The sequence below is a fragment of the Homo sapiens genome, chromosome 19 (assembly GCF_000001405.40).
Source record: "Homo sapiens chromosome 19, GRCh38.p14 Primary Assembly".
Classification (NCBI taxonomy): domain Eukaryota; kingdom Metazoa; phylum Chordata; class Mammalia; order Primates; family Hominidae; genus Homo; species Homo sapiens.
Window position 1 is genome coordinate 53,990,472 of NC_000019.10, and position 22,608 is coordinate 54,013,079.

A 22,608-nucleotide genomic window follows, 5' to 3' on the forward strand; every position below is an offset into this window, starting at 1 on the left:
CCTCCCTCAGACCCAGGAGTCCAGGCCCAGGCCTTCCTCCCTCAGACCCAGGAGCCCAGGCCCCCAGCCCCTCCTCCCTCAGACCCAGGAGCCCAGGCCCCCAGCCCCTCCTCCCTCAGACCCAGGAGCCCAGGCCCCCAGCCCCTCCTCCCTCAGACCCAGGAGTCCAGGCCCCCAGCCCCTCCTCCTTCAGACCCAGGAGTTCAGGCCCCAGTCCCTCCTCCCTCAGACCCAGAAGTCCAGGCCCCCAGCCCCTCCTCCCTCAGACTCAGGAGCCCAGGCCCCCAGCCCCTCCTCCCTCAGACCCAGGAGTCCAGGCCCCAGCCCCTCCTCCCTCAGACCCAGGAGTCCAGACCCCCAGCCCCTCCTCCCTCAGACCCAGGAGCCCAGGCCCCCAACCCCTCCTCCCTCAGACCCAGGAGTCCAGGCCCCCAGCCCCTCCTCCCTCAGACCCAGGAGTCCAGGCCCCCAGCCCCTCCTCCTTCAGACCCAGGAGTTCAGGCCCCAGTCCCTCCTCCCTCAGACCCAGAAGTCCAGGCCCCAGTCCCTCCTCCCTCAGACTCAGGAGCCCAGGCCCAGCCCCTCCTCCCTCAGACCCAGGAGTCCAGACCCCAGCCCCTCCTCCCTCAGACCCAGGAGTTCAGGCCCCCAGCCCCTCCTCCCTCAGACTCAGGAGCCCAGGACCTAGGAGACCAGGTTCCTCTCCTCTCAGATCCAAGATTCTGGGTACCCAGGCCTTCTTCCTCTACCACTCAGAAGTGGGGTACCGAGGCTTCTTCTCCCTTAGGGACCCAAGACTCCTGGCCTCAGGCCCTCCTCCCTGAGACCCGGGGCCCTGCCTCCCGCCCCTCCTCCCTGGTAACCCCAGTCAGACTTGCTGCCCCGCCCGTCTCCTGCTGCCCGGGAGACTGCGGAGCTGGGACTCTCGGCGCCGCTCTTGCCCCTTAGTGAAATGAAAGTCCCATCAGGCTCGGCCCCTTCCTCCCCGGGCGGCCTCCCTCCCCCCTTCCTCGTCCCCTTAAAACACCCGGGATCCCTATGGCAACAGGCGCCGGGCGACAGGTGCGGGTGTTATTTACGGGTCAAGCCCGAAATAGCCCCGAGGGTGGAGGGTGGAGGGTGGGGGGTGGGCGGGTGGGGACGAGGCCGGGCGCGGGCGGAGGCCAGGCCGGTGGCGGTGGCGGGCACAGCCGGACGCTTCGGAGGCAGCGCGGAGCTGGGGTCGGCGCGGGGCCGAGGCAGGAGAGCGAGAGGGGCCCCTGCTCGGGAGTCGGGGGTGGGAGCCCCGAGGGGGGGCCCTGGCCTGGGGCTGAGCCTGGCGCGAACCCGACCGGGAAGGCCCTGGGAGCCCGGGGGAGGGAGACGGACTGATCCCGAAGGGGCGCAGCGTCTCTTGCGGGTCGCGGTTGGCCTTTGAACCCTGGGGGGACTCAGTCCTGGTTTTCCGAGCCGCAGTGCGGACCACAGCCCCATAGTGTGAGCCCCAGGAGGGCCCCCGGTCCCATCTGCCCCAGCCCTCGGGGAGGCCCCGTAGCCTCCCGCCTCTGGACTCCACTCTGTCTTCCGGCCACCGGCCCCTTTTCCAGGCTCAGTAGAGACCTCGGATCTTTTCTGAATGGCAGGGGAGACCCCTATCCCCTTTTCCTGAATTCCAGCGAGGCCCAGTCCTCTTCTGAGCCCCAGCCAGGGCTCTGTTCTTCTCCTTCTGTGGATGCCGGGGTCCTACTGCCTCTCTTGAGACCCGGATTGAATTCCGACCTCCCCTTGGGAGCTTCCCGGGACCCCAGGTCTTCCTTTTCCGAATCCCAGAGGGTCCCCAAGTCCTCTGTTCTCAAACTCTGAGCCCAAGGGAACCCCGGCCACATCTCCTCCAAACACACACAGGACCTCAGGTCCCTTCCTGGGTACCCCAAACTCTTAGCCCTAGTGGGGTGCTCAGATCTCTCAGGAAAACCAGTTTCCCTTTTGTTAACCCCCCAGCGGGGACCCCAAAGCAGCCCCTTGGAGCTGCAGGGAGCTTCAGCGGGCACCAGTTCTCATTCCTCTGGAGCTCTTGGGGGGACTCCCTCCTGGGAAGCCGAATTCTATCTCTAAACCTCAGGGTGGGGGCCTTGTTTTTCCTCTGGGCCCCGTCTTCTTTGCCAAGTTCTTGAGGGCAACCTAGACCCTCCTCTGAACCCCAGAGGCTTCCCCAGCCCTGGGGATCATTTTTCTCTTCTGAACCCCAGAAGCAATCTCGACTTTCGCATTTGAGATTCCAGACAGGACTCGGCTCTCCCTCTTTCATACCCAGGGGAAACTGAGTCCCTCACCCCCTTCAAGACCCCAGGCCGCTCCTCGCTCCCGCCCCTCGAGGCCCTTCGCCGGCTCTGCCTCCTCCCCCTTCCCGACCCCACCGGCCATAAGATGATGTGGTCCAACTTCTTCCTGCAAGAGGAGAACCGGCGGCGGGGGGCCGCGGGCCGGCGGCGGGCGCACGGGCAGGGCAGGTCGGGGCTGACGCCCGAGCGCGAGGGGAAGGTGAAGCTGGCGCTGCTGCTGGCCGCCGTGGGCGCCACGCTGGCGGTGCTGTCCGTGGGCACCGAGTTCTGGGTGGAGCTCAACACCTACAAGGCCAACGGCAGCGCCGTGTGCGAAGCGGCCCACCTGGGGCTGTGGAAGGCGTGCACCAAGCGGCTGTGGCAGGCGGACGTGCCCGTGGACAGGGACACCTGCGGCCCCGCGGAGCTGCCCGGAGGTGAGCAGCCGCCGCCCCGAGCGCAGGGCTTGCGTCCCACGGACAGGGAGGGAGAGGGGCCCGTGTCCGAGGAGAAAACCCGCCCCAGGGACAAAAGCCTGAGCCCGGAGGAGACAGCTTGCCTCGCAGTAAGCGCCAGTGCCCACTTCGTCCTCTGCTCTCAGAAACTGCTGAGAGATAGAGGGATCCCCCAGATATGGCCCAGGTCCCTCACGGGCCTACCGCCAGAGAACCTGTGCCTTAGAGCTTGCTTTCCTGCTACAGACTGTACCCCAAGACCAGAATGTGCCTACAGGGAGTCTGTGCCCCCAGGCCATCCTGTACCCCCAGACCAGGCTGTGACCTGAGACCCCCTCAGACGAGTCTGTACCCCTATTCTGCACCTCTAAAGAGAGCTTGTGCCCCCGCCTACAGCCTGTGCCCCAAGACCATCCTGTACCCCGACTATCCTGTACCCCCAGATGAGCCTGTGTCCCCAGCTACAGTTTCCACCCCCAGACTAACATGCACCCCTAGACCAGTCTATACCCCCAGACCAGCCTGCATCCTTACACCAGCCTGTGCCCTCAGATCAGCCTGCACCTCCACACCAGGCTATGGTCCCAGATGATTCTATGACCCCCAAAGTCCCTGCCCCCACACAGCCAATGTTCCCAGGCATCGCTGTGTCCCCCCAGACCAGCCTACAGCTCTAGAGAGAGCCTGTGTCACTAGAAAAATCTTGCCTGTGTCCCCAGACCCAGCCTGTGATTCCAGACACAGCTGGTGTCCTCAGATAGCCTGTGCCCACCCCAGACAGCCTGCACCCTCTGGAAGTGCCTGTGCCCTGGAGACAGCCCGTGCCCACTCTGCATGTGCCCACAGACAGCCTGTGCCCATGGAGAGACAGCCTGGGTTCCTGGTGTCAGCTTCCTCTTCCCAGCCTGGAGACAGCTTGCGCTCCCATCCTGTGAGCCCTGGGGAGACAGACGCCCACCCCAAAGCAGGATCTATGCCTGTTCCCCACCTACTGCTTCCACCAAACCAAGCTCTCACCAGACGCCTCCCAACACCCGAGGGCAGACCTTGTTCCTTCCCTGCAATGTTCTTCACTTCCTGTCCTCTCGCCTCCAAATGCCCAGACTGGACATTTCAGCGTTTCTCATTTTCTCCGAGAGACATTCCCATACTCCCTCCTTTCCCAAATCATGGCTGTTTTATCCCTGGGCATGGCAGAGAGCTGTTCCATACCTCCCTGACACGCCACGCCACGGCTTGTGCTTATACCAGGGGGACATTCTATACCCCTTGGGAACTGGATGAAATCTCCTTCTACCTCCACTGACCCATGGAAAATACCTGGCACTCCTCAGAGCCCATTTGGGCTGTCATATATTTGATCACCCATATGAGATCTCCAGCACTCTTCAGTCTCCAAAGACGGTCCTATCATCCCAGTGCCCCTCAAAGAATATGGCCTATTTTTCTGGGCTCCGTATGAGATTTCCCTCGTCCCTCACTTCTCCAGATGTGATATCTTATATGTGTAGAGTGCAAAATAGGATGTCCCAAGCCCTCGATAGGACAGTGGGATGCCAGGCCCCCCGGCTGTCTGAGCTACCCACTTGGTGTCCAGATGGGCTACCCTTGATCATTTTATTTCTGCAGATGGGCTGTCTCTGGCCCCTCAGGGGTCTCATAAAGGATGATCTCAAACTTTTGCAAAATGGGAGTCCCCAGTAATAAGAATAGTAGCTGCTTATGTAATGCCTGGTTCTCATCTCAGTGTTTTATGTACATTAACTCATCAAGCATCATAGCTAGCCTATGAGTCGTTATTATCACTCCCGTTCTAGAGAAGAGAAAAATGAGGGGGCGAGAAATCTCGGTGGCTCGGTCTATGCACCCAGGCTAGTTAGATGGAATTTGAAGCTTGGTTGCCTCTCTTCTCAACAACTGCATTATATCACATCTCACTGGTCCATCAAGAGATCCCAAAGGTCAAAGGTCCTGGGACAATGGAGGGGTGGCCCATCCCATCTCACCGCATTGTATGGGGTTCCTTGCATCCCTTGCTGTCCCCTCCATTGATCAGAAAGGACTTCAGTCTTCCAGCAGGGCCATTAACGTTATCTTACAAACCCAACCCCTCAGAGGACATCTCTCAATCTTCATTATCTCAGAGAAATATCTCACACTCACCACTGCCCATCAAAAGGCATCCCTGGCTCCCTTGGCTATAAGTATGGAATGTGGGGGTGACCCTTACCCTGCACTTTTCCAGATGGGATGTGTCATGTTTGGGGGTGGTCGAATTGGGATGTGCTAAACTATTAGTAGCCAAAAGAGGATGCCAGGCAACCTACATTGTCCCAGAAGGGCCGTCACACTTCCCTTGTGGATGTAGACCGTGTTTCCCGCAATGACTGCTTCAAAGAGCACCTGCACCCTTCGCTCAGTGACGTGAAGCACCCTTTACCTCTTTTTCTTTGAAATGGAGTTTTGCTCTTGTTGCCCCGGCTGGAGTGCAATGGCACGATCTCGGCCCACTGCAACCTCTGCCTCCAAGGTTCAAGCAATTCTCCTGCCTCTGTCTCCCAAGTAGCTGGGATTACAGGCATGCACCACAACATCCGGCTAATTTTTGTATTTTTAGTAGAGACGGGGTTTCACCATGTTGACGAGGCTGGTCTCAAACTCCTGACCTCAGGTGATCTGCCCGCCTCGGCCTCCCAAAGTGCTGGGATGACAGGCATGAGCCACCACGCGCAGCCCAGCATCCTCTACCTCTTGCTGCTGCATAAGAACTCACATATCCCACTCCTCCTGGCCGGACATCTCACCCCTTCACCTCCCCTCGGGGTACTTGGGGAGCGCCCGCCCACACCACCTCACCTGACTCAGGGATTGATTTCTTGTCCCTTCATATCCTTGTTCAAATTGAAAAGTTCAATTTTTCACATTCATGGACTGCCTGGTCCCTCTTCTATGGCCTTTACTCCTGTTATTCTCGACCTCTCTTCTCTCTTTCTGTGCCTCAGTTTCCCCATCTGTAGAATAAGAGAGTAGGTCAGGCTAGGTGAATTCTGAGGGAATTTCTGGGTCTAAAATGCACTTCAGAAAGTGCTCCCCTCCCTTCCTTCATTTCTCCTTCCTTCTCTCCCTTTCTTCCTTTTTCTGTCTTTCTTAACTTTAAAATTTCTCTCTCTCTCTTTTTTTTTTTGAGATGTAGTCTTGCTCTGTCACCCATGCTGGATTGCAGTGGTGCCATCTCAGCTCACTGCAACCTCTGCTTCCCGGGTTCAAGCGACTCTCCTGCCTCAGCCTCCTGAGTAGCTGGGATTACAGGCATGTGCCACCACTCCCGGCTAATTTTTGTACTTTTAGTAGAGATGGGGTTTCACCATATTGACAAGGCTGGTCTCGAACTCCTGACCCCAAGTGATCTGCCTGCCTTGGCCTCCCAATGTGTTGGGATTACAGGCATGAGCCAGCACACCCGGCCCTGTGCTTTGTTTTATATTATTTTTTCCTCGTTCTTTTCCAGCTCATCTCTTTAATGTGTTTGATATACACTCACAGATATGTATTTTGACTTGGAAAATATATAGTGTTAGTTTATATGTGTGTTTTACATAAATGAGATCATGCTATTGATTTTGTCTGATCTTTGGGATTTTTTTTTTTTTTTTTTTTTTTGAGATGGGATCTCACTCTATCACCCAGGCTGGAGTGCAGTAGTACAATCTTGGCTCACTGCAACCTCTGCCTCCCAGGCTGAAGGGATCCTCTTGCCTCAGCCTCCCGAGTAGCTGGGATTACAGGTGTGTGCTGCCACACCCAGCTGATTTTTTGTATTTTTGGTACAGACGGGGTTTCACCACGTTGGCCAGGCTGGTCTCAAACTCCTGAGCTCAAGTGATTCTCCTGCCTCGGCCTCCCAAAGTGCAGGGATTACAGGTGTGAGCCACCTTTCCTGGCCTCAATTTTTGGATTTTTAAATTAAATTATTAATATTAATTATCATTATTGTTTTGATCAACACTGTGTTTCTCAAATCTCTCCATCTTGCTTTAGGTTATTCTAATTCATGGCTATATGTACTGGAGAGATTTTCACAAGGACTGTCTGTGTCATTTACTTGTCTGTTCCCCATTAGATGGACACCTGACTTGATTCTGACTCCATGTTACTTATAAACAGTGCTGCTGTAAACATCTGCATATATATTCCTGTTTTGTTTTTTTTTTCTGGAGTTATACCCTGCAATGAAATTGTTGAGCCACAGGCTATGAACATTCTTCATTTCATAAAGTACCTCAGAGTGCCTTCCCAAAAGACTAGGAGTACCCGTTCATACACGGTGTTTCCTCTTATCTTTTCAAACGCTTGATATGACCCTTTTAATGTTGGCCAATCTAATTGATGGGAAGTGGTGGCTCCCTGCTGATTCCGGCTGCCTCTCTCTGATCCCTGGTGAAGTGGGGCATCTCTCCATGGACTTATGAGTTACCCAGGCTTCCTCTTTTGTGAATTACTATTCATACCCTTTGCCCATTTGTCAACTGGGTTCTCTCTCTCTTCTTGCTAATCCGCAGGAGCTCTTTGTGTGTTCTAGGTAGGAATCCTTCCTGAGACAGGATTCCTTTCTGAGTCTGTTAGTCTTCTGCTACTTGTATCTTGGTATCCTTTGTTGAATCAAGTGATTATCCATATGTAATCCCACTTGACCCTCAACAAACCCATACGAAGGGGCCAGGAAAGAGATTATTATCTCGTTTTAAAGAGGAGGAACTAGAGACCCAGAGAGGCTAATGGCGCACTTGGGGCCACAGGTCTGGGGCTCAGAGCCCCGGGTAGGAGTCCCAGCTCCTAGATGGCAGTGTGGTCGCAGGTGGCTTTCACACCTCTGGGCATCATTTTTCTCCTCTGTGTATCAGGGATGCTGATGTCCAAGTTTTAGGCTCCCGTGGGCTGTTAACTGTCCAGCCCTGAGCTTACGCAAGGGACCTCACATCCTCATGTCTGTTTTCTCTCTCCTGCTCCCACAGAAGCAAACTGCACCTATTTTAAATTCTTCACCACGGGGGAGAATGCACGCATCTTTCAGAGAACCACAAAGAAAGGTGAGAACTTTTCACCCCCTGCTGGGTGACAGGTGGGGGAAATGCTGAGCGTGCTGGAGGAGTTCTAGAGAGAGTTATCCCCTCCTCTGCTTTACCCCAGGGCAGGTCTCGTGTCTATAATCTGTGGCTGTCCCCTGGGGAGTGCTGGCGGGAGAGTTAATGATGGGGACATGGTGCTCTAGAGAATCTAGAGAACTCTTTTTTTTTTTTTTTTTTGAGATGATGTCTTGCTCTGTCACCCAGGCTGGAGTGCAGTGGCACAATCTCGGCTCACTGCAACCTCCGCCTCCCAGGTTCAAGCAATTCACCTACCTCAGCCTCCTGAGTAGCTGAGACTATAGGCGCCCACCATCATGCCCAGCTAATTTTTATATTTTTAGTAGAGATGGGGTTTCACCATGTTGACCAGGCTGGTCTTGAACTCCTGACCTCAGGTGATCCCTCTCCTCAGCCTCCCAAAGTGCTGGGATGACAGGCGTGAGCCACTGCACCTAGCTGTGCCTAGAGCTCTTACCCCATCTCTGCCTATGCCACGTTCTGTGTCACCCCGGGCAAGTCGCAGCCCCTCTCTGTGGGTAGCACTTGGACATCTCACAAACCTGCAGGCATCAAGTACTGACCACAGTGCTGGGCACTCCATCTGTAAGATCTCCAGTCCTCGCAGTAGCCCTGCAGGGTGGGGGCTTTATCTTCCATCTTCCAGAAGTCCAGGAATGGTTACAATTATTCTTCCCAGGAAAATTTTTCACCATGTTGGCCAGCCTGGTCTTGAACTCTCCTGATCTCAAGTGATCCACCCACCTTGGCCTCCCAAAGTGCTGGGATTATAGGTGTGAGCCACCGCACCTGGTCCACAGGAGGAAATTTAGGCTGAGAAGGGTTCAGCCTAAATTCCTACTGGAATCTGGAAAATCCTACTAGAATCTTCCATGTAGGAAGTAGTTGGTGAGATTTCCAACCTGGATCATTCCACTGTAGCACACTGCCTTTGCCATCGTCTCCCACACACCCCACTGCCTCAGCTTCCTCAACTGTAAACCAGTGGTAACCAGATCCTAAGTAATAGTTGGTAATTCTCAACTCTTTCTAATCCTGGCCCTCTCCTCCCTTTGCTCAGTGACTTTAGAGAAATAACTGACCCTTTCTGAGTCTTAATTCCTTCAACAGTGTAAGTAAAATGTTGGGCTGGATGATACTCTACTTGAAAATTCTTCTCTCGTCCCGAATCTTACATCTTCCTGGTTCTGGGTTCCTATGGGTGAATCCTCCTCATTCCCTACATCCCATGTTCTCTGCTTCTTTCCTCTCTCCTGCTGGCAGAGGTGAATCTGGCAGCTGCGGTGATAGCAGTGCTGGGCCTGGCAGTCATGGCCTTGGGGTGCCTCTGTATCATCATGGTGCTCAGTAAAGGTGCAGAGTTCCTGCTCCGAGTTGGAGCCGTCTGCTTTGGCCTCTCAGGTGAGGGTTCAGAGCCTGGAGGCTGAGGACATTGCATGCTGGGAGGATCTCCAGGCACTGTTGCATGCTGGGAGATGGGGTCTCTATGCACTGTTGCACGCTCAGAGATGGAATCTCTATGCACTGTTGCATGCTGGGAGTAGGGTCTCCACACACTGTTGCATGCTGGGAGTAGGATCTCCACACACTGTTGCACGCTGGGAGGTGGGATCTCCAAGCCCTGTTGCATGCTTGGAGTTGAGGGGAAGCCCAAGGGCTATAGTAGGTTCAAAGATGGGAGAACCCCAACAACCGGGCTAAGGATTGGAGGGTGTCCAAACATTGTTTTAGATTTGGACCTGGGATTTCCAATCACTGTTGCATGCTAGGCATTAGAGAAAGCGCAAGGACTATAGAGGTCTCAAAAATTGGAGAGTTCTAAGCCCTGTTGTTGGCTGGGAATTGGAAGCTGTCCAAACGCTTTTCAAGGTTTGAACATGGAGTCCCCAAACACTGTTTCATGCTGAGATGTTTTAAGCACTATAGCGTGTTGAGAGGTCAGGGAAGCCCAGGGGCTATAGCAGGCTCAAAGGTGGAAGAGTTCCAAGCCCTATTGTTGGCTCAGAATTTGATGGTCTCTAAATGCTCTTTTAGATTTGAGACTTGAGGTCTGCAAGGACTGTTGCATTCTTGGAGCTGAAGGTCTAAATAAAATGCTGCATCTTGTGAAATGTAGCCCTCAGTAATAAACAACACTTCAGTTTATTGTACTTCCAGTTCAAATCCTTACAACAGCACTATTAGGCAGGGCTTACTATCCCCCATTTTATTTACTTATTTATTTTTGAGACAGAGTCTCCCTTTGTCTCCCAGGCTGGAGTGTAATGGCATGATCTCGGCTCACTGCAACCTCCGCCTGCTGGGTTCAAGTGATTCTTCTGCCTCAGTTTCCCAAGTAGCTGGGATTACAAGCAGGCACCACCACGCCTGGCTAATTTTTGTATTTTTCGGTAGAGACAGGGTTTCACCACATAAGCCAGGCTGGTCTCGAACTCCTGACGTCAAGTGATCTGCCTGTCTTGGCCTCCCAAAGTGCTGGGATTATAGGCATGAGCCACCACACACAGCTTCCCCCATTTTATAAATGAGGAAATTGAGGCTCAGAGAAGTCAGATGAATTACTCATGGGCACACAATCAATGATGGCATGATGGCAGAGGTGGGATTTTAAACTCGGTTTTCTTTCTTTCTTTTTTGAGATGGAGTCTCACTCTGTCGCCCAGGCTGGAGTGCAGTGGCACGATTTCAGCTCACTACAACCTCTGCCTCTAGGTTCCAGCCCAAGCTGTGCCCTGAATCACTGTGTGGCCTTGGGAAGGTTCCTTTTATTTTCTGGGCCTTGGTTTTCTTCTTGGATCAAATGTTTTCTTTTCTTTTCTTTCTTTTTTTTTTTTTGAGACAGAGTTTCGCTCTTGTTGCCCACGCTGGAGTGCAGTGGCACAATCTCAGCTCACTGCAACCTCCGCCTCTCAGGTTCAAGCAATTCTCCTGACTCAGCCTCCCAAGTAGCTAGGATTACAGGTGTGTGCCACCACGCCTGGCTAATTTTTGTATTTTTAGTAGAGACAGGGTTTCATCATGTTGACCAGGCTGGTCTCCAACTCCTGACCTCAAGTGATCCACCCACCTTGGCCTCCCAAAGTGCTGGGATTACAGGCGTGAGCCACCGCGCCCGGCCAAGACTTTCATAAAACACTTTTATATCAACACCTTCCTGTGCACCCCCAGGGGTAATGCAGGTGTGAGTTTAATAATAACGCCAGCACCAAATTCCTACCAAGCTACAAATTCCATGAAAACAGACATCATCTTTATCTTTTTCATCGTTCTGTCCTCAGGGATTTAGAGAGGGCCTCTCTGGGGAGGTGACATTGAAGATGTCAAAGTATGGATAGACAAGCTGGGAGAGTTTGCTGCATTGCAGATCTTGAAAGAAAGCCAGTGTGACAGGAGTGTGGAGAGAGACAGGGAGACTGGTGTAAAAGATGTCACTGCATTAATGTGACATTAATGTCACTGGTCCTGTGACATTAACAGGGAATCAAAAAGATCTGGGTTGGAGTCCCAACTTCTTAACAGCCATGTAATTGGGGCAAACCTTTTTCTATCTCTGAGCTTAAATCTCCTTATAGCCATGAACTCACTCATCCATGTATCTGTTAGTATTGTGTCCATCCTATCCATCCATCCATTTATCCTTCCGTTGATTGATCAGTTTCCTCCTTCTCTCCCCTTCCTTCCCCTCTCTCTCTTTCCCTATGTCTCTTTCTATCTCTCTCTTTTTTTTTTGTTTTTGAGACAGGGTCTCGCTCTCTCATCCAGGCTGGAGTACAGTGGTGCAATCTCATCTCACTGCAACTTCGACTTCCAAGGCTCAAGTGATTGTCCTCCCTACCTTTCAGCCTCCTGAGTAGCTGGGAATACAGGTGCATGCCGCCAAGCCCGGCTAATTTTCGGTTTTTTTGTTTTTTTTGTTTTTTTTTTTTTTGTAGAGATAGGGTTTCGCTGTGTTGCCCAGGCTGGTCTCCAACTCCTGAGCTCAAGTGATCCGCCCACCTCGGCCTCCCAAAAGTGCTGGGATTATAGGTATGAGCCACCAAGCCCGGCCCCTCTCTCTTTTCTTTCTTTTCCACCCTCTTTCCCTTCCTCTCTCCCTCCAATCATCTATTTCTCCTTTTTTTTTTTTTTACTTGTCCATTCATTTAACAAGTATTTCTTTAATATCCAGTGAGTCCCAGATGCTGTGCTAGGAGCCGCTGAGGACGCAACGATGAATAAAATAAAGATGATGTTTGTTCTCATGGAATTTGTAGCTTGCTAGGAATTTAGTGCTGGTGTTATTATTGAACTCACACCTGCATTACTCCTGGGGGTGCACAGGAAACTGTTGATATAAAAGTGTTTTATGAAAGTCTTGAGCACAAAAATGTTCCACAGATTGTACAACCAATTGAGAGTGAAGAAGGATTTGATGTTGTAATTACTGTGGTTAGATTGCGTGTCAGGGACTGGGGCAGGTTGGGATTTTGAGGTCTCCCTAAATAAAGGGTCGTGTTCAGGTTGTCTTGTTTCTCTCCTTATAATACATATATCAGCTGTTGTTCTAGTTTTAGAGGTATGAGACAGAGAAGTCTGCTGCCCTCGTGGATTTATAGTGCAGTGGGAGAGACAGAAATGAGATAAAGAGACATTAGTCATACAAATCAATATACATTCATAACTACCAACTGTGATGAATGCTATAGATAAAAAGTACAGAGTATGAGAAAAATGTATGACAGGAGACCCACTGTAGATTTAGGTGGCAGTGGTTAGTGAAGGCGTCCCTTTGAAACATGTACTTCATACAGAGATGTGAAGAATAAGGACATCTAAGACAGGCTCAGGGAGGGGGAGGCGGAAAATTATTCCAAGCAGCATAAAGGTCTTCAAGCCTGAACAAATCTGGTGCATTGAAAGTCCTGCTCCACGCTGCGAGAGTGTGGGAGGAGCAGCTTGAGAGGAGGCTGGAGAAGCCGCAGGAGCCAGACCCGCATGCCTTTTTATTTATTTTATTTATTTTTTATTTTTGAGACAGTTTTGCTCTGTCACCCAGGCTGGAGTGCAGCGGTGCGATCTCGGCTCACTGCAACCTCTGCCTCCCGGGTTCCAGCGATTCTCCTGCCACAGCCTCGGAAGTAGCTGGGATTACAGGTGCCTGCCACCACACCTGGCTAAGTTTTGTATTTTTAATAGAGACTGGGTTTCTCCATGTTGGCCAGGCTGGTCTCGAACTCCTGACCTCAGGTGATCCACCTGCCTTGGCCTCCGAAAGTGCTGGGATTACAGGCATGAGCCACCCTGCCTAGCCATCCACCAGCAAATTCTATTGGCACTGCTTCCAAAATGTGTTTTGAATGCAAACACTTCCCTCGGTTTCACTAATCCAAGCCACGGCTATATTTCCCCGAGGTAATTTCTATGGCCTCCTAACTCTTCTCTATGCTTCTCCTTTTAACCTCCTCAAGTCCATTCTCCACAGAGCAGCTAGAGTGATACTTCTATTTTTTTAATTTTAAATTTTTTAAGACAGGGTCTGGCTCTGTCGCCCAGGCTGATGTACAGTGGCACAATCACAGCTCACTGCAGCCTCAACCTCCTGGGCTCAAGCAATCCTCCCACCTCATCCTCGAGTAGCTGGGACCACAGGCACACGTCACCACTCTGGGCTAATTTTTAAAATTATTTGCAGAGATGAGGTCTCACTATGTTGCCCAGGCTAATCTTGAATTCCTGGACTCAAGCAGTCCTCTCGCTTCAGCCTCCCAAACTATTGGGATGACAGGCATGAGCCACCGCACCCGGCCAAGTGATACTTTTTTTTTTTTGAGACGGAGTTTCGCTCTTGTTGCCCAGGCTGGAGTGCAATGGCACGATCTCGACTCACTGAAACGTCTGACTCCTGGATTCAAGCGAGTCTCCTGCCTCAGCCTCCCGAGCTGGGATTACAGGCATGCGCCACCACGCCTGGTTAATTTTGTATTTTTGTGTGTGTGTGTGTGTGTGTGTGTGTGTGTGTGTGTGTGTGTGTGTGTGTGTGTGTTTAGTAGAGATGGGCTTTCTCCATGTTGGCCAGGCTGGCCTCGAACTCCTGATGACCTCAGGTGATCTGCCCGCCTCAGCCTCCCAAAGTGTTGGGATTACAGGTGTGAGCCACCACGCCTGGCCCCTAAGTGATACTTTTATATCATAAGTCGGATCACGGATTCTCCCCAGAATAAAAGCCACTTAAATTCCTACTGCTAGAATAACATGGTGGCAAGGCCTCGCGCGGGCTGACTCCCGGCGCCCTGCGACTCCCTCTCCTGCCACCTGCTCTCCCTGCTCCGGCCACGCCAGCCTCTGCTGTTCCCCAGACGCTCTAAGCTCATTCCTCCCGCAGCGTGTTTTCCCGGGCTGCCTCCTCGGCCTGGAGCGTTCTTCCGCCGGCGCTTCACGTGTCTCGTTTCCTCGCATTGTTTAAGTCTCTGGTCAAATGTCACCACCTCAGAGAGACCAGCACTGACCATCGTGTCTAAAGGGGACTCATTTGGTATCCAAGAAAATGTTAAAAATAAATAAATAAATAAATAAATAAAAGAGGGGGGCGCGGTGGCTCACGCCTGTAATCCCAACACTTTGGGAGGCCGAGGCAGGTGGCTCACAAGATCAGGAGTTGGAGACCAGCCTGACTACCATGGTGAAACCCTGACTCTACTAAAATACAAAAATCAGCCGGGCGTGGTGGCGGGCGCCTGTAATCCCAGCTAAGCAGGAGGCTGAGGCGGGAGAATCGCTTGAACCCGGGAGGTGGAGGTTGCAGTGAGCTGGGATCGCGCCACTGCACTCCAGCCTGGGCGACAGAGCGAGACTCCATCTCAAAAATAAATAAATAAATAAATAAATAAATAAATAAATAAATAATAATAAAAGAAAGAGCACGTGAGAGAAACTGGGCGCGGTGGCTCACGCCTGCAATCCCAGCACTTTGGGAGGGCGAGGTACGTGATCCCTTGAGCCCAGGAGTTCGAGACCAGCCTGGGCAACATAGTGAAACCCCATCTCTACCAAAAATACAAAAACTAGCTAGTCTCATAACCTGATCTCAAAAAAAAATAGATAAAAATTTAAAAATAAAATAAACTGGCCGGGCATGGTGGTTCATGCCTGTAATCCCAGCACTTTGGGAGGCTGAGGCGGGCAGATCTCAGGATTAGGAGTTCGAGACCAGCCTGGCCAACGTGGTGAAACCCCGTTTTTACTAAGATATAAAAAATTAGGCGGGCATGGTGGTGATGCCTGTAGTCCCAGCTACTAAGGAGGCTGAGGCAGGGGAATCACTTGAATTCAAGAGGTGGAGATTGCAGTGAGCCAAGATCGCGCCACTGCACTCCAGCCTGGGCAACAGAGTGAGACTCCCTCTTAAAATAAAATAAAATAAAATAAAATAAAATAAAATAAAATAAAATAAAATAAAATAAACCAGGCGCGGTGGCTCACTCCTGTTATCCCATAACTTTGGGAGCCGAGGCTGGCAGATCACTTAAGGCCAGGAGTTTGAGACCAACCTGACCAACATGGTGAAACCCTGTCTCTACTAAAAATACAAAAATTAGCTGGGCGTGGCGGCGGGTGCCTGTAATCCCAGCAACTCGGGAGGCTGAGGTGGGAGGATCATTTGAACCTGGGAGGTGGAGGTAGAAGTGAGCTGAGATCGCACCACTGCACTCCATCCTGGGTGACAGAGCAAGACTCTGTTTCAAAAATAAATAAATAAATAAATAAATAAATAAAATAAGAAAGAAAGAAGACTCATTTCTAGCTGGGACTTTACCTGCTTTATTTTTCTTCACAGAATTTATCACTACCTGAAATTCTCTGCTTATTTATGCCCGTATTCATTTGCCAGGGCCACTATAAGAAAGTACCACAGCCTGGGTGGCTCTCTATTTATTTATGCCCGTATTCATTTGCCAGGGCCACCATAAGAAAGTACCACAGCCTGGGTGGCTGTGGTACAACAGAGATTGATTTCCTCACCGTTCTGGAGGCTGGAGGTCTAAGACCAACGCGTCCACAGGGAAGTTTTCTCCAAGGCTTCTCTTCTTGTCTTGTAAATGGCCAACTTATCCCTGTATCTTCACATGGTCTTCCCTCTGTACTGGTCTGTGTCCCCAGTTCCTTCTTTCTTTTCTTTTTTTTTTTTTTTTTTTTTTGTTGAGTCAGAGTCTGGCTCTGTCACCCAGATTGGAGTGCAGTGGTGTGATCTCTCTCTGCTCACTGCAACCTCCCCCTCCCGGGTTCAAGTGATTCTCCTGCCTCAGCCTCCCGAGTAGCTGGGATTACAGGCACCCGCCATGACACCCAGCTAATTTTTGTATTTTTTAGTAGAGAGGGGGTTTCTCTATGTTGGCCAGGCTGGTCTCGAACTCCTGGCCTCAGGTGATCTGCCCACCTCTGCCTCCCAGAGTATTGGGACTACAGCCGTGAGCCACTGTGCCCGGCCTTCTTTTTTTTATTTTGTTATTTTATTTTATTTTATTTTATTTTGTAGAGACAGGGTCTCACTCTGTTGCCCAGGCTGATCTTGAATTCCTGGCCTCAAGAGATCCTCCTGCCTGAAATTTTTTTTATCTCATAAGGACACCAGTCACATTGGATTAGGGTTCCTTCTGATGACTTCGCTTTAACTTAATTATCTGTTTGTGTGTGTGTGTGTTTGTTTTGTTTTGTTTTTTGAGACAGGGTCTCACTCTGTTGCCCAGGCTGAAGTGCAGTGGTTCGATCTCAGCTCACTGCAGCCTCTGCCTGCAGGATTCAAGCGATTCTCATGCCTCAGCCTCCCGAGTAGCTGGGATTACACGCATGCACCACCACGCCTGGCTAACTTTTGTATTTTTAGTAGGGATGGGGTTTCACCGTGTTGGTCAGGCTGGTCTCAAACTCCTGCGATCCGCTCGCCTTGGCCTCCCAAAGTGCTGGAATGACAGGCGTGAGCCACTGCACCCAGCCTTAACTTAATTCTGTCTTTAAGAACTCTATATCCAAATACAGTCATGTTCTGAGGTACTTGGGGTCAGGACCCCAAAACATCAACTTTTTTGTGGAGGACACAACTCAGCCCTCAACAGTGCATTTAACTGATAATTGTCCATCTCTCCTTCTTGGATGAAACTCCAGAAGGACAGGGATTTAGTTGTAGTATCATTTATGTATCATATTATATGTATTTTGTAATAAGAGCTCAATGAACATCTGTTGAATGAATCAAAGAATGCATGAATCAGGTCTGCTGTGGTGGCTCACACCTGGAATCCCAACATTTTGGGAGGCTGAGGCAGGAGGATTGTTTGAGGCCAGGAGTTTGAGACCAGCCCGGGGCAATGTAGAAAGATCCCGTCTCTACAAAATAAAATGAAATAATTAGCCATGGCAGCTTGCGATGTAGTCCCAGCTACTCAGGAGGCTGAGGCAGGAGGAGGGCTTGAGCCTGGGAGGTCAAGGTTGCATGCAGTGAGCTATGATCGCGCCACTGCACTCCAGCCTGGGTGGCTGAGACCTTGTCACTAAAAAAGAGAAAAGAAAAAAAAAAAAGATTGAATTAGGAAAGGAATGAAGGGGAGTCCTTGTCTAAATGCTTTTCCACCTCCCGTTCTGTAATGTTGGGCTGCATGGAGCAAAGAAGGGGCTTTTAAATCACAGCATCCTGGCTGCATTCTCCAGGCCCTGAATCAAAACCACAGTGAATGGCTGGGCACGGTGGCTCAGGCCTGTAATCCCAGCACTTTGGGAAGTGGATAGATCACCTGAGGTCAGGAGTTTGAGACCAGCCTGGCCAACACGGTGAAACCCCATCTCTACTAAAAATACAAAAATGAGCCAGGCGTGGTGGCAAGAGCCTGTAGTCCCAGCTACTCAAGAGGCTGAGGCAGGAGAGTCTCTTGAACCCGAGAGGCAGAGGCTGCAGTGAGCTGAGATTGCACCATTGCACTCCAGCCTGGATGACAGAGTGAGATTCCGACTCAAAACAAAACCAAAACCGGTAAACAAACAAACAGAAAAAAACACCACAGTGGGGCTGGGGCGCAGGGAGGAAGCAGGGTCAGGAACTGGGGTTGGGGCAGGACTCCAGGGTCTGGAGAGAAGGCGGCTGGGATCCATGACTCATGCGTGACTCTCAGACGGTCCTGCATGACCTGGCCCCTGCCCGCCCCTGCAGTTCCATTACCGCCTCTCTCCCCAACCCCAACTCTCCTTGCTCCCACCACACTCAGCTTTTCTCTTTTCTCCAAACACTCTGTGCTGCGTCCTACACAGGACCCTCGCGTCAGCACCTCCTTCTGCTCGGAACAGCCGTTGCTTCGTTTTGAGCATGACTGACTTCTTTTCATCCTTCAGGTCCCAGCTCAAATGGCTTTTCTCGACACCATCCAAAGTCCCTGCTCCACCCCTGGGTGCCACTCTCTCTGTTTCTATTTCCTTCCTTTCATGCATCACCCTCTGAGATTATCTTGTCTCCTCATTTGTTTATTTTGGACATTGCAACCTGGCAGCCTGCAGGCCCTCGATGGCCAGGAGATGTGCTTTGTTTGCCAGGCAGTGTGTAAAGATTTCTTCGAGTTGACGTTTAAAGGTTGGGAGAATTCCCATAAAAATAATAATCATTTAAGCAATTATAGGCCGGGTGCGGCAGTTCACCCCTGTAATCCCAGCACTATGGGAGGCCAAGGTGAGTGGATCGCTTGAGGTCAGGAGTTCTAGACCAGCCTGGCCAACATGGTGAAACCATGACTCTACTAAAAATACAAAAATTGCCGGGCGCGGTGGCTCACGTCTGTAATCCCAGCACTTTGGGAGGCCGAGGCAGGTGGATCACAAGGTCAGAAGTTCGAGACCAGCCTGGCCAACGTGGTGAAACCCCGTCTCTACTAAAAACACAAAAATTAGCCAGGCGTGGTGGCGTGTGTCTGTAATCCCAGCTACTCAGGAGGCTGAGGCAGGAGAATCACTTGAACTGGGGAGGTGGAGGTTGCAGTGAGCTGAGATCATGTCACTGCGTTGCAGTGAGCTGAGATCATGTCACTGCACTCTAGCCTGGGCAACAGAGTGAGACTCCATCTAAAAAAAAAAAAAAAAAAATTAGCCAGGCGTGGTGGAGCACACCTGTAGTCGCAGGTACTCAGGAGGCTGAGCATGAGAATCGCTTGAACCTGGGAGGCGGAAGCTGCAATGAGCTGAGATCATGCTGTTGAGCAGCTGCAGCTGGCTTCTGCCATCATTTCTACCTTACTTGCCGCCCTGTGTGTTTACACTTTCTCATGCCCCCTGCAGGCATTTGAGTTTTGCAAATTTTGGTTTATTTGTTTACTGTCTATCTCCAAGTAATATATAAGCTCCACGAGGGTAGGGTCTTTCTCTATCATGTTCTTTCTTTTTCTTCTTTTTTGCTTTTTTTAAAAAAAAAAAATCAGCCTGTAATCCCAGCTACTCGGGAGGCTGAGGCGGGAGAATCACTTGAAACCAGAAGGCAGAGGTTGCAGTGAGCCGAGATTGCCACTGCACTCCAGCCTGGGTGTAAGAGCGAAACTCCGTCTCAAAAAAAAAATAAAAAATAAAAAATTGCATTGCAATATGACTTTATCTTTATTTTGTGACCCCTCCCCCTCTATCACTCTTTTAAAAAACTTGCATGGAGACTATTTCTTTTCTTTCTTTTTTTTTTTTTTTTGTTGCCCAGGCTGGAGTGCAATGGCGTGATCTTGGCTCACCACAACCTCCGCCTCCCAGGTTCAAGCAATTCTCCTGCCTCAGCCTCCCGAGTAGCTGGGATTACAGGTGCACACCACCACGCCCAGCTAATTTTGTAGTAGAGATAGGGTTTCTTCATGTTGGTCAGGCTGGTCTTGAACTCCTGACCTCAGGTGATCCACCCGCCTCGGCCTCCCAAAGTGCTGGGATTACAGGCGTGAGTCACTGTGCCCGGCCCAATTTTTGTATTTTTAGTAGAGATGGGATTTCACCTTGTTGGCCAGGCCAGTCTCAAACTCCTGGCCTCTAGTGATCCAATCGCTTCAGTCTCCCAAAGTGCTGGGATTGTAGGTGTGCCTGGCCGCTAATGGAGTCTTAATTTGAATTTTGTGTTTTCTGATTCCTGTGTTTGCTTTAAGAAAAAAAAGTTGTGGGAAAATGTGCTAAACATAAAATGTGTAATTTTAACCATTTCCCCTTTTTATTTTCAATTTTTATTTATTTATATATTTTTAAGAATTGGGATCTTGCTGTGTTGTCCAGGCTGGAGTGTACTGGTGTGATCACGGTTCACTGCTGCCTCATCCTTCTGGGCTCAAATGATCCTCCCACCTCAGCCTCCTGAGTAGCTGGGACTACAAGCGTGCACCACCACACCTGGCTAATTTTTTAAAATTTTTTTTTTGTAGAGATGGAGTCTTGCTATGTTGCCCAGGCTGGTCTCAAAATCCTGGCCTCAGGCAATCCTTCGTCCTCGGCGTCCCAAAGCGCTTGGATTACAGGTGTGAGCCACAGCACCCAGCCTCCTCTTTTATTTTTAGTTGACATGTAGTACTTGTACATATCTGTGGGAAACAGAAGGATGGTTTGATGCATGTAAACAATGCATAATGATCAGATCAGGGCAATTAGCCTATCCACCTCTTCAAACTTGATCATTTCTTCATGTTGTGACCATTTCAAAATCCTCTCCTCTAGCTCTTTGAAAATACACAGCCAGGCACGGTGGCTCTCACCTGTCATCTCAGCACTTTGGGAGGCCGAGGTGGGTGGACCACTTGAGGTCAGGAGTTCCAGACTAGTCTGGCCAACATGGTGAAACCCCGTCTCTACTAAAAAAAAAAAAAAAATATATATATATATATATATATACACACACACACACACACAAAAATTAGCCAGGCGTGGTAGCGCACGTGTGTAATCCCAGCCACTCAGGAGGCTGAGGCAGGAGAGTCGCTTGAACCCCAGCTACTCGGGAGACTGAGGCAGAAGAATCAGGAGGCGGAGTTTGCAATAAGCTGAGATCGCACCACTGCACTCCAGCCTGGGTGACAGAGCAAGACTCCGTCTCAAAAAAAAAAAAAAAAAAAAAAACAAAACAAAACAAAAACAAAAAACTAAGGAACCATATTCACCCTACAGTGCTGCGAACACCAGAACGCGTTTCTCCCGTCTAGCTGTGATTCTATATCCGCCTTTTAATCATTTTCCAGCGTACGGTTCTGTGGCATCAATTCCGTTCACATTGTTATGCAACTATCACCCCCATCCACCTTCAGAACGATTTGCGTCTTCCCCAGCTGAAATTCTATACCTGTTAAACACCAACTCCCCTTTTTCCTCTTCCCTCCGGCCCTCGGCAACCATCCTTCTACTTTCTGTCTCTATGACTTTGTGTCTTGTTTTTTTTTTTCTTTATCTCCAGCTTCCCAAATGCTGCCTGCTATATAGTAGGTGTTTAGTAAGTATTTGTTGAGTGCACGCGTGGGAAGGTGCCAGGGTGGGCGGGAGGGCTGGGAGCGGATGGCGGAGATGTTCAGACACAGCTGGGGTCGCGGGCGTCTGACTGCGAGCTGTCCTCTCTCCCGCAGGCCTGCTGCTCTTGGTGAGCCTGGAGGTGTTCCGGCATTCCGTGAGGGCCCTGCTGCAGAGAGTCAGCCCGGAGCCTCCCCCGGCCCCACGCCTCACCTACGAGTACTCCTGGTCCCTGGGCTGCGGCGTGGGGGCCGGCCTGATCCTGCTGTTGGGGGCCGGCTGCTTTCTGCTGCTCACACTGCCTTCCTGGCCCTGGGGGTCCCTCTGTCCCAAGCGGGGGCACCGGGCCACCTAGAGCCACGCGTGAGACTTCTCTAAGCAACCACCGAGCCCTTTGACCTTCTCCATTGTACCCCCAAGATCTTTTTGCCCCATCTCCTAGAGAAACTGTGTTCTCCCTGCTCGGGGGCCCATGTTTTTTTACACGCCTGCCTCCTGTCCCCTTATCCTTTCTCCCTCTGTAAATACGTTTTTCTCTGTGGCTGTATGTGGGTTGCTTGGGGGTGGGATGGGAAGAGGCTCTTTGCAAACGAGGGTCCCCAGAGAAGACTGGCGGGGACCTGATGGGGTAGCTGGGGTGTGGGGTTGGGGGATGAGGTCAGGGGGTCTTGGGTGGGAGTTGGGGGCCCCTTCATTTCCCAGGTCTGGATCGATTCACTTGCCGGGAGAGACTTTTTACAACTCATCTGCAGCTCCGGGTGCGGTTGGGGGAGATAGCGAAGGGTCTGGCCTCGCTGTGATCTGATTTGGGATTAAAGGTTTGGAAATTTAACAACTTTGCTTTGGAGTCTATTTGTGATGTGATCGTGCATTCTGGGGTAAAGAAAAGTGACCCCATATTCCCTCCAGAAACATACCCTCCAGAAACACTTTTAAGCCCAGAAGTCACATGAAAACGAACCCATACACAATGGTTGAGAGTGTGGAAAACACAATATATTTTTTATTTTTATTTTTATTTTGAGACGGAGTCTTGCTCTGTCTCCCAGGCTGGAGTGTAGTGCTGCAATCTTGGCTCACCGCAACCTCCGCCTCCTGGGCTCAAGTGATTCTCCTGCCTCAGCCTCGCAAGTAGCTGCGTTTACAGGCACGAGCCACCATGCCCAGCTAATTTTTGTATTTTTTTTTTTTTTTTAGAAGAGACGGGGTTTTACCATGTTAACCAGGCTGGTCTCGAACTCCTGA

General features: G+C 51.0%; 1 protein-coding gene across 4 annotated transcripts; it reads left to right on the plus strand.

Annotated features, from left to right (window-relative positions):
• The first annotated feature begins 677 nt into the window (after nt 1-677).
• Nucleotides 678-22,195, plus strand: CACNG6 (calcium voltage-gated channel auxiliary subunit gamma 6). Of its 4 annotated transcripts, NM_145814.2 has the most exons (4): nt 1,166-2,737; nt 7,768-7,842; nt 9,163-9,300; nt 21,480-22,195. In NM_145814.2, the coding sequence occupies exons 1-4, from the start codon at nt 2,407-2,409 to the stop codon at nt 21,716-21,718; spliced, it is 783 nt and encodes a 260-aa protein (NP_665813.1). In that variant the 5' UTR covers nt 1,166-2,406; the 3' UTR covers nt 21,719-22,195. The 4 variants fall into 4 exon arrangements, 3 of the variants coding, with proteins under 3 accessions (NP_665813.1, NP_665814.1, NP_114103.2); NR_102308.2 differs by lacking the exons at nt 1,166-2,737; nt 9,163-9,300 and adding an exon at nt 678-726; NM_145815.2 differs by lacking the exon at nt 9,163-9,300.
• Nucleotides 22,196-22,608: the final 413 nt, after the last annotated feature.